Source organism: Homo sapiens, chromosome 14, assembly GCF_000001405.40.
Source record: "Homo sapiens chromosome 14, GRCh38.p14 Primary Assembly".
NCBI lineage: Eukaryota > Metazoa > Chordata > Mammalia > Primates > Hominidae > Homo > Homo sapiens.
This window is the reverse complement of record NC_000014.9, coordinates 92,608,925-92,624,035: the sequence shown is the minus strand read 5'-3', so window position 1 is coordinate 92,624,035 and position 15,111 is coordinate 92,608,925. Positions and strand designations below refer to the sequence as shown.

The following is a 15,111-nucleotide window of genomic DNA, read 5'->3' as shown; positions in this document are numbered from 1 at the left end:
TTCCACTTGGATGGTCTTCTGACCAACCGGGCATGGGCTGCATGGTGGCTCTTTTCCAACACCCTACAGCCTGGGATAGTGAATTCTGTCGAACTCTCTCTGTGCTATTCCCTGAAACTCAACACCTTGAGGGTGAGCCCCCGAGGGCCATCCAGCCTCCATCTCCAGATGCCAAGTTTACTTCCTGTCTCTCACGACAGGGAAAAAATTTGGAGTTTCTTGGGGACCTAAAGGGATGCAGTGAGCTTAAGTCTTTCCAAGAGCTTACCAATCAGTCTGCACTTGTTCATGCCCGAGCTGATGTATGGTGGTATTGTGGTGGTCACCTGCTAGACACTCTGCCAAGTAACTGGAGTGGTACTTGTGCTCTAATTCAATTGGCCATCCCTTTCACCCTGGCATTTCAACAACCAGAAAAAAAGAAACCACAACGCCGTAAAACAAGAGAGGCCCCTCAAGGATCTTTCGACTCTCATGTCTATGTAGATGAAATTGGAGTCCCACAGGGGGTACCTGATAGATTCAAAGCCCGAGACCCAGTAGCTGCAGGATTTGAATCATTATTTCCAATGGTAGCTATTAATAAAAATGTAGCTTGGATAAATTACATCTATTATAACCAGCAGCGATTTATTAATTACACTAGGGATGCTATCCAAGGAATAGCTGAACAATTAGGGCCTACTAGCCAAATGGCTTGGGAAAACAGAATGGCCTTAGATATGATATTAGCAGAAAAAGGTGGAGTTTGTGTTATGATAGGAACCCAATGCTGCACCTACATTCCCAACAATACAGCTCCTGATGGAACAATTACAAAAGCTTTACAAGGTCTTACCTCCTTATCAGATGAATTAGCCACAAATTCTGGGATAACTGACCCTTTCACAGGATGGTTAGGGCAATGGTTTGGTAAATGGAAAGGACTCATGGCCTCTATTGTTACCTCTCTCGCAATCGCAATAGCTGTGCTTATTCTTGTTGGATGCTGCATCATGCCCTGCATTCGTGGACTAGTCCAAAGACTTATAGAGACAGCTAGTAACAAAACCTTCCCTAGTTCTTCCCAATCCTATAGTAACAAATTCTTCCCCGTGAACGAACACGAAATCCGAATCATATTAGATAGGTTTAAAGCAGAACATGTATAAATTCAAGAGGAGGAAATTGTTGTTGACCACAAATAGTTCCTCTTCAAAGAGTTTCTGTGCCTGGTTCTTTGTTCTATTCTAAAAGGTAATCATACCCATTCATCTATCAGCCCTCCCTCTCTCTGCTGTGCCCAAACACCCCAAAATGTACTATACCTGTGCTTCCTGTCAAAGGCCCACCCTTGCCTCCTTTGATGATGTCAACTGTAGACAATCGGAATTAGCCTAGATTGTGCGGTCTGACCCCAGCCCACAGGGGGAAGACACAGGAACAGGGTCTGCGTTAGGGATAAGAAAATCCTGTTCTCCTTTGTTTTGCATGCTCCCCCTTGCCTCTGCCTTGCATGCAGGAAGCGCCCTTCTACAGAAGTAAATTGCCTTGCTGAGAAAACTTTTGCCTGAGTGCTGGGTTCACTTTGTGGCACTGAAAATTTGTTTCTAACAGAACAGGAAGGATGGGAAGGCATGGCCTTATCAAATTATAAGGATGCTAAAAGTCAGGGATTACACCCAGGTACCAAAGGAAAGCTCATAGCAGGCTCTGGAGGGAACACATGCAAAGTGGTGCCAGTGCCCACCTAAGGTCAGAGACATCTGACACTCTAAGATTGGAGCCCACAGGAGGATGCTCTGGGGGATCCTGTAGACCTCAACCTCCCCAAAGTGGATGCTCTTGGCAGAGGTTATGAGGTCTAGTACTAAGCCCTCCTTAGAATTTTCTCTTGCAGTTGCAATGGCTGCTTGGCCCCCATATTGTTTAGAATCTGGAGTTTACTGTCTACTGGGAAAGTGGGATGGTGTTGCATGGATCCCACTTGTGCTGCTGTTCTGAGCAAGGAGCCTGGTTAATGTGTGATGCCCTCCTTTGGTACTGTTTGGCTCCAGCACTCTTTGGAGTCTGGGGAGGTCTGGCCTTTAACAACCAAACTGCTTTACCCGAAATTTTGGTTCATAGCCTTCATTGGCTTATCTATTGGGGTAAAGTAAAACCAGTAAGCTTGTATTGCTATCTCATGGCTAAGGTTCCGAGCTACTGGATTTTCATTTATGTGTGTGTATACACGTCTAGATGTGTTTATTTGTATGTACACTTACTGTTATATGTTGTCTACCAAAACTGGCAGAAAGTCTAGCACCTTTTAAAGGGTCTCAATAGGAAACATTTGTTTTCGATTGTTTCTAAGGGCAGCCACTATGAGACTTCAAAAGAACCTTGGTTTTTCACAATCTTTTATGAACATTTCCTTTCTATTGATCCCAGGTCCTTAGACAAAAACTCAATCAATTGTCAACCATAAAATGTTTAAATTTACCTATAGCCTGGAACACTGCTCCCCACCCCCAACAGTTTTCAAGTTGTCCCACCTTTCTGAAACAAACCAATGTATTCATGTATTCCTTAATTGTATTTGACTGATGTCTCATGCCTCCCTAAAATCTATAAAACCAAGCTGCACCCCAACCACCTTGGGCACATGTTCTCAGGACCTCCTGAGGGCTGGGTCATGGGCCATGGTCACTCATATTTGGTTCAGAATAAATCTCTTAAAATATTTTACAGAGTTTGACTCTTCATCGACAGTAAAACAAGAAGTATTGTAAAAAAATGCATCAGAAGTTTGGTAATTCTTTTTTTTTTTTTTTTTTTTGAGACGGAGTCTCGCTCTGTCACCCAGGCTGGAGTGCAGTGGCGTAATCTTGGCTCACTGCAAGCTCCGCCTTCCGGGTTCACGCCATTCTCCTGCCTCAGCCTCCTGAGTAGCTGGGACGGGGTTTCACCATGTTAACCAGGATGGTCTCCATCTCCTGACCTGGTGATCCACCTGCCTTGGTCTCCCAAAGTGCTGGGATTACAGGCATGAGCAACCGTGCCCGGCCCAGCAATTCTTTTTTAAATATAGTTAAGCATGAAGCTGGATTTAGTGCAAAGCCAAATCTCACATACATGCTTGCATTGCTTCACACTATGTTTACTCTTTTGCATGGATAGTGCTGGAGTACTTATTGGCCATGTGCCTAAAGTCAATTTCTTAATTGCACAGGCTGTATGAAAATATTGGCGAACTTAAGGATACTGAATTACGTGTCAGGATTAAAATATTCATTATGTGGGTTTTTGGGGGCCCTAGGTAACACTGTAGCCTCCAGGGTAAATTGAGTAGGAAAACTTAGGGTTGGTTTCCTGTTTATTTGTTTTTGACTTCTAGTTTTCATTCACTTGCTGTTTATTCTCCTCTGGCTTTGCTTGTGTATCCATATGTATAAAACTATGATTTTTTTTAGTTCCTAGTGGAAGGCTTTCATTTGGTTCTGTGAATAGTTATTTTGTTTCCCATGTATTTCTAGCAAATCATCATTCATTCCATTTATCTGGAATTCCAAAGCTACCTTTGTCGGGCCCAGAGGAATTAATGGAGCACACCAACTTTCTACCTTTAAACAAACTTTTTGGATTTTAGGCTTCCTGATAATTTAAGTGTTCTGCGTATACTCTTGTAAATAGAATTTGAGTCATATTTCTCTCTCTCTGCCTAACGTCTCCACAATTTGTAAACTGTTTGTGAATATTCTTAATTCATGGCAATGTGTTTGTTTGCATATGGTCAGGCAGGGTCGCTAGGGCCACTCAGAGAGAGAACCCAGAAACCTGGCATGCCAGCAAAAGGGTAAGAGTTTCTTACTAGTCAGTCTCTGGCTTCTTTCTCTCTGTGCAAACTGGTTAAATATAAAGGAAAAGTCACTGTTTGTCTCCTCTGTAAAGTTTTACATTAATTGGTTTAATAATAATAAAAGCTTAAGTCAAATATTTTGTCGGAAAAGTGAAAAATGTAATGCCTTTTATTTAGTTCATGTGACTTGAGTAATCTTTGGGAAATAAAGACAGTTTTATTGGTAAAACACAAATGTCTTCAAAATGTAAACATGTGGTCCAAATTATGTTCAAATATTGGGCTTGCTAAATGCTTGAAGGTCATAAGTTGCTTCTTTGCCTTTCGAAAATTGTTTAACTTGCCTGCTTTCCAGCTAGGTAAGGCCTGGGGACATGCGGAGTTGGCCACGCTTCTAGCTATGCTGGAAACAGTCAAACTTTATCAGAACATAACTTACCAGGTTTTACTTTAAAATTCGCCATTATAACATGCAGTTAAGACTACTAGAGGCCGGGCGTGGTGGCTCAGGCCTGTAATCCAGCACTTTGGCAGGCCGAGGTGGGCAGATCACGAGGTCAGGAGATTGAGACCATCCTGGCTAACATGATGAAACCCCGTCTCTACTAAAAATACAAAAAATTAGCCAGGCGCTTGTAGTCCCAGCTGCTCGGGAGGCTGAGGCAGGAGAATGGTGTGAACCTGGGAGGCAGAGATTGCAGTGAGCTGAGATTGCGCCACTGCACTCCAGCCTGGGCAACAGAGTGAGACTCCATCCCAAAAAAAAAAAAAAAAAAAAAAGACTACTAGAAACAGTTTTACATGCAAGGTATATAAGAACAGTAGAATGTGTGTGTGTTTTTTTTTGTAAAAGGTTATAAAAGGTTTCTACTTCTTTAAAATTTCTGAGTCATTTTGGCAAAATAAATAATTTATGGTACTCTGGAATTCCAAAATCAAACTTCAGTTTCAAAATTGTCTTTCCTGATGCCTGATTTTTTGGATGGATCAGAGGGCCCCTGAAAACATCCAGAAAGGAGGTAAACAGGATTATTTGACATGTTTAGGTACATGAGATTGCCAAAATGATGTTCGATCTTCCTTAGGTTATATTTTTGTGAATAATACTAATATGTGTTACAAAATTGTATGGGATTTCTAAAATGTTAATGTCTAAGTATATGCTATCAATTATAATTATGATTATTATGCTAAGTGATTATAAACCACACACAAAAAACAAATTTTCTTCTCAGTGCTATGTACCTAATTTGGAAAAACAACTAGTATCCAAGATAATATAAGTCTAATGTTAATTAAGCATGGCCTCATGGAGAACCAGGATGGCCACCTTGTCCTTCCTGAGTCCTTAAAGCTTTTATTATTAAGAGTTCTGCATTCCATGACTCAACATGGAAAAAATAAAATGATCCAAATTGAATACATTGATGTAGTGGCTTACAAATTACTGAAATTGTTTATAACCAATGTTTGATCCCATATTCCTGGGAAAACAATTAAAGCTTCAGGTACAATTGGTCACCTGGAGGCCACTTAAACATTTTACAAAGGGATTTCATTCAATTGGTATTTTCAGTGCATGTGTTCTGGTTGTATAAAAGCTTTCCCATGCAAGAGGGCTGATGTTATAACAGTAGATTATTATGCTATAGTGTATTTTCACCAGGTAAAAAAGCTTTTATAGTTTAGATCTTCTGAGAACATCAGAGAAAGACTGTCCTTGCCATCCACATTGCAACAAAACTTCGGGACCTGGAACTTTGGGTTCATAATCTCAAAACTGTGAAGGGTCCCTCCATACTCTTGGAACTGTATACCCATTGGAACCCTTGGGGTAAGGCTAACCAGGGGTGTTTCTCCCCAGAAGACGATGGCATCCTTGATGTGAACAGCTTTTCCCAAGTTCACAGATTAAGGCCTCCACTATCATGAAACTCTTATCTTTGAATATTTTCCCTTGCTTATGCCTCTGTGAACAATAGAAGTGGAAAAGGGGTCTGTTTTGTGCACTTATGGGGTGTACTTTTATTCGTGCAGGAGTTTGCAGCCAGCCTTATACATGAAGAACCTTATACTTTGATGGATAAAGGATAAAGGCCCAATGCAGGTTAAAAAAAACTTTAATGGTACCTCATTATGGCTGCCTCACAATCAGTCAGAAACGAAACATTGGTTCATTTCTCTTAACCCACATCACAGGTTAAAGATATCATTGCCAGGAGGCCTTCACTCTTCTAGAAGGGCATAATTTATTAGGTCCTTTTTCCATGGTTTAAAGTAAAAGAAGCAATGATTAGCAATATATCCCTTATGACAGGCTCTACAGCAAATTCTACTGTAAAGGCTACAGTTACACAACAGACTTTAAATTTTCTTGTGAAAGTTATGATAGAATTGGCTGAACAAAGACATATCTGTGCAGCTGCTGGCACATGTGGCCTATGGAGAAATACAGCAAATGAAGATTATAGAAATTCAGTGCTAGGGGATTAACAAAGAAACTGCTTAGTTAAGTCATTCTTTGGTCTCTTTGATTTTAGGAGGTTTGGCTTGTGGGGACCTTGGGTAAGGAGCATACTCCAATTTCTTACTATTATCCTCCCAATAGTCATAGTGATAGTTTCCCTGTTGGGCTGTATTCTCTCAAAGGTTTTAAATGCTTGCATGCAGCCATCTCTAGAATGTCATATGGTCTCTCTCCAACTGGAATAACAGGAGCTGAAAGAAATATGTGACCATGAGGACACCGTAACCTATGAATGATGGGCTAAGTAAGACCAGAAACCCAAAATGATGGTAACAGAGAGTGGCACTAAGGCCCTAAGTTTTGGTCACGTTCTCACCTAAGTGACCAAAGTGAGAACGTGACCAAAAAGGGGGGAATTTTTAAATTTATTTATTTTGGTTTTTTTTTTGAGATGGAGTTTTGCTCTTGTTGCCCATGCTGGGGTGCAATGGTACGATCTTGGTTCACTGCAACCTCTGCCTCCCAGGTTCAAGCAATTCTCCTGTTTCAGCCTCCTGAGTAGCTAGGATTACAGGCGCCCGCCACTACGCCCAGCTAATTTTTGGTATTTTTAGTAGAGACGGGGTTTCACCATGTTGGCCAGGCTGGTCTCGAACTCCTGACCTCAAGTGATCCACCGGCCTCGGCCTCCCAAAGTGCTGGGATCACAGGTGTGGGCCACCGTGCCTGGCCAGGAATTTGTTAAACAAAATTCTGGCAGGCTGTTGTTTTGGACTAAGCTCATGCACTAGGCCCCAACAAACCAAACCAAAATGGTATCATTTGTGCTAAGACTTTAAGGAAACACATAGGTTTTAGAACAGACCAGGTTTTCTTCTTTTCTCCTGCAAATCTCTGTAACAAACATTCTTGACAGCATAGGTATCCACCCCCTGAAGTTCCCATTAAATCTTTTAACCAATTTCATTTCCTCTCGCATAGAGACCATCAAGCTTCAGATGAACAGCAACAAAGGTTCCAGCCATTTGCAGGTGAATACACCAACCCTGCCCATCAAGAAGCTATCCTGCCTCCACTATACAGAGCAGGGTGAGAGTTCCTTGATCCCCAATAGGTAGGGACTACACCCCAAGCCAGCATGAAGCAGTTACAGAAAAAAAAAGATCATTGGTCCCTCTGCCTCCTATAAAGATTTATGGGGATCACCTCTCTCAGGGAAGATATGAGGCAGGAAAAATAGGGTCTGGAGGCAGGGAACATAAGGCTGATTCACACTTCAGTTATAACAGGAAATATCCTCTCCATACAGTGTAGGCCAAGTAAAAGACTTTGTAACTTTACGTCATCCTCTTCATTTACATAGGGTGTACCCCAAGTAACCAGTGGACTCCTCTAGAGGGTATTTAATATTCCCAAAATTCTGTAACGGTGCCCTTGAGGCCCTATGCTTGGGCCCGCTCCCACCGTGTGGAGTGTACTTTCATTTTCAATAAACCCCTTCATTCCTTCCTTGCTTTGTGCATTTTGTCCAATTCTCTGTTCAAGACACCAAGAACCCGGACACCCTCCACCGGTGACATTATCAGCCTCATTTTTCCTGCCCATCTGGACTCAGGAGGGTCCTGGTAGGTGGGGAGGGGGTGCTCTAGGTTGAGCATGGTTTTCTTCAGAGGCAGCAGGGGTTGTGGGCCTGGAGCCCACTGCTGGACCCCAACACATACCACCCCATTTTAAACCAGCCCTTGTCAAGGTCCCGTAGCTTAAGTCATTGACTTATGGCACCAAAGTGTATTTTTAAATTCTTACTGACCCAAAACCAGTTCTGAATAAACAGGCAGTTCTCAGGGTGGTTAGCAGACACCCGCTCCACCCAGCAGCTGCTTAGTAATCACAAGCTACCTCCCATGAAGGGGGATCAGCCCCTGTTGCTGCCCCTACAGGAAGTTTCTTCTAGAACCCCTGCAATGGGAGGCCTGGTCCACGCAGGACTCCAGGCTGTCCTTGAAGCTGATGATACAGGAAGCTGAGAGACAGGCCGTGAGCCAGAGGGGCAGGTGTGGAAGGGAGGGGCTCTTATCAGATAGTGTGAGAAAGCCTCAGAGCCAACACATCCTCTGTGGTTCCCAGAGGGGCCTGTGCCCTCTCTCTGCATCCTCTGGGCCACACCCCTCCCTCTGGGGCTTCCCTGTGAAGTCCCCTGCACCCACCCAGGGTTGCATGTGATGTTTGCTACAACCAGATAACCTCCTGCAGGGCCGGGTCTACTCACCTACTGACACAGTAGAACGCAATCAATCTGAAGATGTCCTCAAACACAAGAGCCGAGCCTTCCAGGTACAATACTGGGGAGACACAAGAAGGGCCCTGGGTGAGGTGAGTATCCTGCCAAGGAAAATGGGGGAAGGAGGTGGCAAGGATGGGGTCGGGGGGCGTGTCTGCTGCACACATTCTGGGTCCCATGCTGGGCTGCATGCGGCCCCCATACACATCAGCTGCCAGCTGGACCTTAGGTAAGTGAGAAATGGAATTCCTTGTCAATCCATTGAGATTTCAGGAGATTACCTGTTTGTATTAGTCCATTTTCGAGCTGCTGATAAAGACATACCCGGGCCGGGTACAGTGGCTCATGCTTGTAATCCCAGCACTTTGGGAGGCTGAGATGGGCGAATCACAAGGTCAGGAGTTCAAGACCAGCCTGGCCAACATGGTGAAACCTGTCTCTACTAAAAATACAAAAAATTAGCCGGTGTGGTGGCAGGCACCTGTAATCCCAGCTACTTGGGAGGCTGAGGCAGGAGAATCACTTGAACCCGGGAGGCGGAGGTTGCAGAGAGCCGAGACTGCACCACAGCATTTCGCCTGGGCAACAGAGTGAGACTCTGTCTCAAAAAAAAAAAAAAAAAAGACATACCAGAGACTGGATAATTTATATATATATATATATATATAAAGAGGTTTAATGGACTCACAGTTCTATGTGGCTGGTGAGGCCTCATAATTACGGTGGAAGGCGAAAGGCACGTCTTAATGATGGCAGACAGAGAATGACAGACAAGCGAAAGGGGTTTCCCCTTATAAAGCCATCAGATCTCGTGAGCCTTATTCACTACCAGGAGAACAGTATGGGGGAAACCGCCCCCATGATTCAATTATCTCCCACCAGGTCCCTCCCACAACTCGTGGGAATTATGGGAGCTATAATTCAAGGTGAGATTTGGGTGAGGACACAGCCAAACCATATCACTATTAGGATAGCTGGTGTTAATATACACTCATCATTTTTGACAAAATAACACAGAAGTTTCTAGACTGTAAATGCAGAATTAAACATTTAATAGATCACAGTCATCCCAAGCAACAGTCTTAGAACTTGGCAATTCTGAGGCCCAGTAGAGGCCAGGAGGAAGGGTGTTGCCCAGTTCTGCCTCAGCCTCCAGGAGGAACATGGGTCTGGGGCACTGAAGTGGGGCCACTGGCCTGTCACCCAGATCTCCAGGGCCTCTCAGAACCTGAATGGCTGCACAGCTCACCCAAGGGCGAGGGCTACCCTGATGTTTTACAGCTCTGGCAAGGAAGAGGGATCAAAGCATTTGTTCAAAATCCATGCCAAGGTGGATGGGGCTCCTCGGAGGGGCAGGGTGCCAGGATGCCACCGTCAGTGCCTGCAGCTGGGGCCAGACTGACCAGTGGAGAACACGGCACCATGCTCTGCCCTGCTTGGGAAAGCCAGGGCGAAGGGCCCAGAGAGGCTCAGCAGGTTGTTGGAGGTCCCACTGTTCATCAGTGCCCCACAGGCACCTGCCCCACAACTCCTGACTCATCCTCACACTCAAATGGTCATGCTCCCTGCACGTGAGAGCCCCACATGAGCGCTCTCTGGCTCCAGAGGGGCCAGGAAACATGTGCATGTCCCACTGTGGTCCTGGTCTCCCGAGGTTCTAGTTTCCATGTGATGGAGAGGGAAGGCAGGACCCGGCTTCCAGGTCTGGCTCTGAGCCTGGAACAGACAATGAGGCTTAGAGCGTGCCCTTTCCCCCCTCAGTGCCTCTGTCCTTCCACCTGTAAAGGGAAAGGAGCTCTTCCCTAAAGCCACACGCACATAGGTGACATCAGTTTGCGGACCTGTTTTCAAAGCCCAGGACTGCACTCCACAGCATTAGAGGTCTGTGAGATGCTTATAGTGATACGCGAACCAACATGTTGTGTTCAATTAGCTTCATTTTTATATTTGCCTTCTTTCTGCATATCAAACACTGTTCTTAACAGTTCACATAATTAAAAAAATTATATTTGTCTATGGCAAGGAGATAGAGACAAAATTTTAAAAGAGAATTTAAATAAAATATTAACTAGATGGTGGTACAGGAGGTATTTGGAGGATGCCTACAAATGACTTAAGTCTGAAAGACCCTAGCTGGTGGTGTTGGAATTCACAGGATGCCCCGAGCGTCCCAGTGCCACCTAGTGCCCGCATCTGGTGCATTGCCGACTCCTTCCACAAGGGGCAGCACAGGTGTGGCCAAGGGAGGCTGGGGTCAAAAGACTTCCGGCAGCAGAGAGGGGAGACAGAGGTTCCATCTGTAAGATGGGAAGGGAAGGAAGGACCTTCCTCAGGAATGCCTGGAGTGGGTTAGTGGCAATGCACACAAAAAGCCCAGCCTACATACCAGGCATACTCAACAATCAGCGGCTTTCCTTCCCATTGAGGCACGGCCTGATCTTTGCAGAACACAGATAAACTTTGAAGACGAAGTCAGTCACACCCCCTTCTGTGCCCCCTGGCACTTTACACAAAGCCCTGGACTCCCTTCCTGAAACAGCATCCTTACAAGGCTTTGGTATCTAGTCCCCTTGCTGGGTTAGCTGCTACTGCAGGAACTAGGGCTTATTCGCTTTGGCAGCCAGGGCCCAACACGACGCTAGACGCAGAGGCCCAAATACTGTTTTACTGTTAAAACCCCAGATTTGTAAAATCATAAGTAATGCTTAAGGCTCATGCTTGTTTCTTTGCAATTAAACCTCTCCCCTGGCCCCAGCCCCTGCCCTTTCTGCCACCTTTCCATTCCTGACTATGCAAACAGCATCTCTTCACACGAAGGCAACACACGGGGAGACCCTGCATGCTGGGGCAGGGTTTGGTCCATCTTTGAGTCTCCCTTAGCATCCAGCACAGTGCATGGGAGACTGATGAATGTTTACTAAAAGTCTGTCTGGGAAAGACACCCTAGAGGGGTAAAGGCCACAGGGGCATCACGGACAGGGTCTTGGACCTCTTACCACGTGGCTGATGGCCCTTCCCTCTAGGGCCCCAAAGGGACACCTTGGACTTGAGGAAGTCCCAACAAACAGCCTCGCACCTTTCTAGAACAAAGGTGAGTGCAGATTGGTACAAGACAAACAATCCTTTGTTCTGATGGGTGGTGGGCTTAGCTTCTAGACTGCCCCCTGTCCTGTACTGCACCGGCCGGGTGTCTTGCCTGTGGGTTCCTAGGCCACACCACCTGCCCGTGAGCATGTGCCGAGGTTGTTGCTTCTCTCTGTGCCTCAGTTTCTTCACCTATAAAACAGGTGATATGGTTTGGATCTGTGTCCCCACCCAAATCTCATGTGCAATTGTAATCCCCAGTGTTGGAGGTGGGGCCTGGTGGGAGGTGATGGGATCATGGGGGTGGGTCCTTCATGAATGGGTTAGCACCATCCCCTCGGTGCTGTTCTCTGATAGAGTTCTCACGAGATTTGCTTGTTTAAAAGTGTCTGGCCCCTGCCCCCCACCTTGCTCTGCTCCCACCACGTGAGACACCTTGTTCCCCCTTTCCTTTAAACCGTGATTGTAAGTTTCCTGAGGCCTCCTCAGAAGCTGAGCAGATACCAGCATCATGCTTCCTGTACAGCCTGCAGAACTACAGTCAATTAAACTTCTTTTCTTACAAATTACCCAGTCTCTTTCTTTATAGCAATGCAACAACAGACGAACACAACAGGGGTAGTAAAGTACCCACCTGTTGAGGATTGACTTGTGTTCCTGCAAAAGATATGTGAATGTGATACATGTGAATACGTGTGAATCTCTAACACACGTGAATATGACCTTATTTGGAAATAGATTCTTTGTAGATGTAACCAAGCTGACCTCATACTGCATTAGAGTGGGCCCTAAATCCAACGGTTGGTGTCCTCATAAGAAGGCCATGTGATGGGCTGGCTGCGATGGCTCACACGTGTAATCCAAGCACTTTGGGAGGCCGAGGCGGGTGGATCACCTGAGTCTGAGACCAGACTGGCCAACATGGTCAAACCTGTCTCTACTAGAAATAAAAAAAATTAGCCAGGAGTGGTAGCAGGTGCCTCGGGGGGCTGAGGCATGAGAATCGCTTGAACCTGGGAGGCAGAGGTGAGATCGTGCCACTGCACTCCAGCCTGGGGGATAGAGCGAGACTCTGTCTCCAAAAAAAAAGAAGGTCATGTGAGGGCATGGGACACAGACCCAGCGAAGGGAATGCCATGGGAAGCTGGAGATGGAGATTGCAGTGATGCAAGGAATGCCAGCCAAGGAATGCCAAAGATTGGCAGCAACCACCGGAATACAGGAGGGAGGCATGGAACAGATGCTTCCGCAGTCTCCAGAAGGAACCAAGCCTGTCCACGCCTTGATTTCCGATTTCTGGCCTCCAGAACTGTGAGAGAATGAGTTTATGTTGCTCTAAGGCTCCTAGTTTGTGTAATTTGCAGTGGCAGCCATAAGAAGCGACTACACCACCTCATAAACATCACTGTGAGCATGAAATAAATTATGCCATGGGAGTGGCTTGGAACAGTGCCCGTGTGTTCAGTCAATGGGGATATTACTAAACTGTCATTTTACACATGCAAGGCAATGTGGTGTGAGGCAGGGGTGCAGGGAAAGGGTTTTGTGGACCCACTGGGTCTCATTTCCTATTGCTCCTCAACAGAAATCCTGTCTGTTGGCTGGGCATTTTCTTCCCTATCTCCTGTTCCTACAGTCCTCACTCCCACCTCCTTGCCTCTGCTCATGCTGTTTGTCCTGCACAGAGAATCCCTGCAGCTCCAGAGTCCAGCTCTAGATCCACCTTCTACACCAAAGTCTTTGTTTCCCAGGGATTCCACCCTCTCCCATCAGAAAGCCACACACAGGGTGCACTGCCCAAAATGCCCATCAGGGAAATGCCGCCCATGTGTTTTACTGTGAGAGGCAGGGGCTGTTGGACTACAGCCGGGGCAGGAGCAGGTCTCACTTTTCCCTGTCCCCTGCCCTGAGCCCAACACCATGCCTGCCACACAGTGAGGACCCGTAAAGAACAGTTGGGCGAAAGGGGCCTTCAGGTGTTAAGATCCAGAATGGGCCAAATAAACAGAGACAGAAAGGATATCAGCGGTTGCTTAGGGCTGGGGGTAGGGGGAGATAGGGGGATGCTAGCTAAATGGTATGGGCTTCATTCATTCTCTTTTTTTCTTTCTTTTTATAATGGTAAACTATAAATAATACACAATTTAGCATTTTAACCATTTTTAAGTGTACAGTTCAGTGGCATTGAGTACATTCACGCTGCTACACAACACAAGGTGTCTTTTCTGAGGTGATGAAATGTTCTTAACTGACTGTGATGATGGTTGCACAACTCTGTGATACACTAAAAGCCATCGAATTGTATACTTTAAATTGCTGAATTGTATGATATTTAATACTTAAAATTTTTTTTTCTGCCAGCGCCTTGATCTTGGAAGATATTGAATACATTAAATAAACACGTCTGAATAAAGCTGTTATCTAGTAGAAAGATATTGATACATTAAATAAACACATCTGAATAAAGCTGTTATTAAAACCAGAAACACACATACATACACACACACACACACACACACACACACACACACACACACACAGACTGAATTTCACTTCCTGCATTCTGTTTTCCTGCGATTTTTTATAATGAGCATATACAACTTCTGTAAGCGGAGACAGTCAAGATTTTTCTCTAAAGCCCATTGGTTTCCAGTGTCCTCTCAGTTCACTCTGCTTTCAGTAGCAGATCAAAACCCTACTAGTACAGCTGAAAAGCCCCCGTGCCACCTACTGCCCAGGAGACCACATCACCCATGAACCTGCCAAGACAGCTCTGATAGAGCCTCAGGCCGTCCAGCACCCGCTTCTGCCCTGGGCAGGGAGCCGGCCAGCCTACTCCTCCCAACAAAATTGCCAGCTCCAGCAGTTCCTGAGACTTGTCACGCTGAGTACATTCTCCCATATCCCTCAGCAAAAGCCTCAGGGGAAACATACCAGACCCTGTCCAAACCGTCTCAAGAGGTGAGGTGTGAGAACAGGCACCAGGCAGCCGAACCCAATGCACTCCAAGGTGACAGCAGGTGACAACAGACTCTGCCCTGGCTCAGAAGAAAGGAAGCCTTTCACCAGTGACTCACCCTCAAGGCTGTGTCAGGGGCAGGTAGAGATGCTGGGTACACACATGCCAGCCCAGCCCCTGGCACTCACAATCTCAACATCAAAATGGAACATCCATGAAGAACTGAAAGCGATTAGGTGTTTTTGTTTTTAAAGAGGTTCAGTTTTTCAGGAATGGAAAAACTATATATCATATGTTCTTACTTATAAGTGGGAGTTAAGCTATGAGATCGCAAAGGCATAAGAGTGATAGAACGGACTTTGGGGAGTTGGGTGGGAAAGCTGCATGTGGGGTGAGGGATAAAAGACTACATGTTGAGTAGAGTGTACACTGCTCAGGTGATAGGTGCACCAAAATCTCAGAAATCATCACTAAAGAGCTTATCCATGTAAACAAAACCC

At 45.6% G+C, this 15,111-nt stretch overlaps 1 protein-coding gene across 2 annotated transcripts in view, besides 1 other annotated feature; it reads right to left on the bottom strand.

Moving 5' to 3' along the window:
* RIN3 (Ras and Rab interactor 3) overlaps positions 1 to 15,111 on the bottom strand; it is a 175,214-nt gene that overhangs the window by 64,959 nt on the left and 95,144 nt on the right. For both annotated transcript variants that reach the window (NM_024832.5, NM_001319987.2), the window contains one exon: positions 8,557 to 8,629. In NM_024832.5, coding sequence (NP_079108.3) covers positions 8,557 to 8,629 — 73 coding nt within the window. The remainder of the gene's footprint in view (positions 1 to 8,556; positions 8,630 to 15,111) is intronic.
* Positions 12,738 to 13,032: a silencer, noted in NCBI's record as "tiled region #14383; HepG2 Repressive non-DNase unmatched - State 23:Low". NCBI's record gives its function as "represses a minimal TATA promoter and a strong SV40 promoter by Sharpr-MPRA in HepG2 cells {active_cell/tissue: HepG2}" and the evidence as "EXISTENCE:reporter gene assay evidence [ECO:0000049][PMID:27701403]".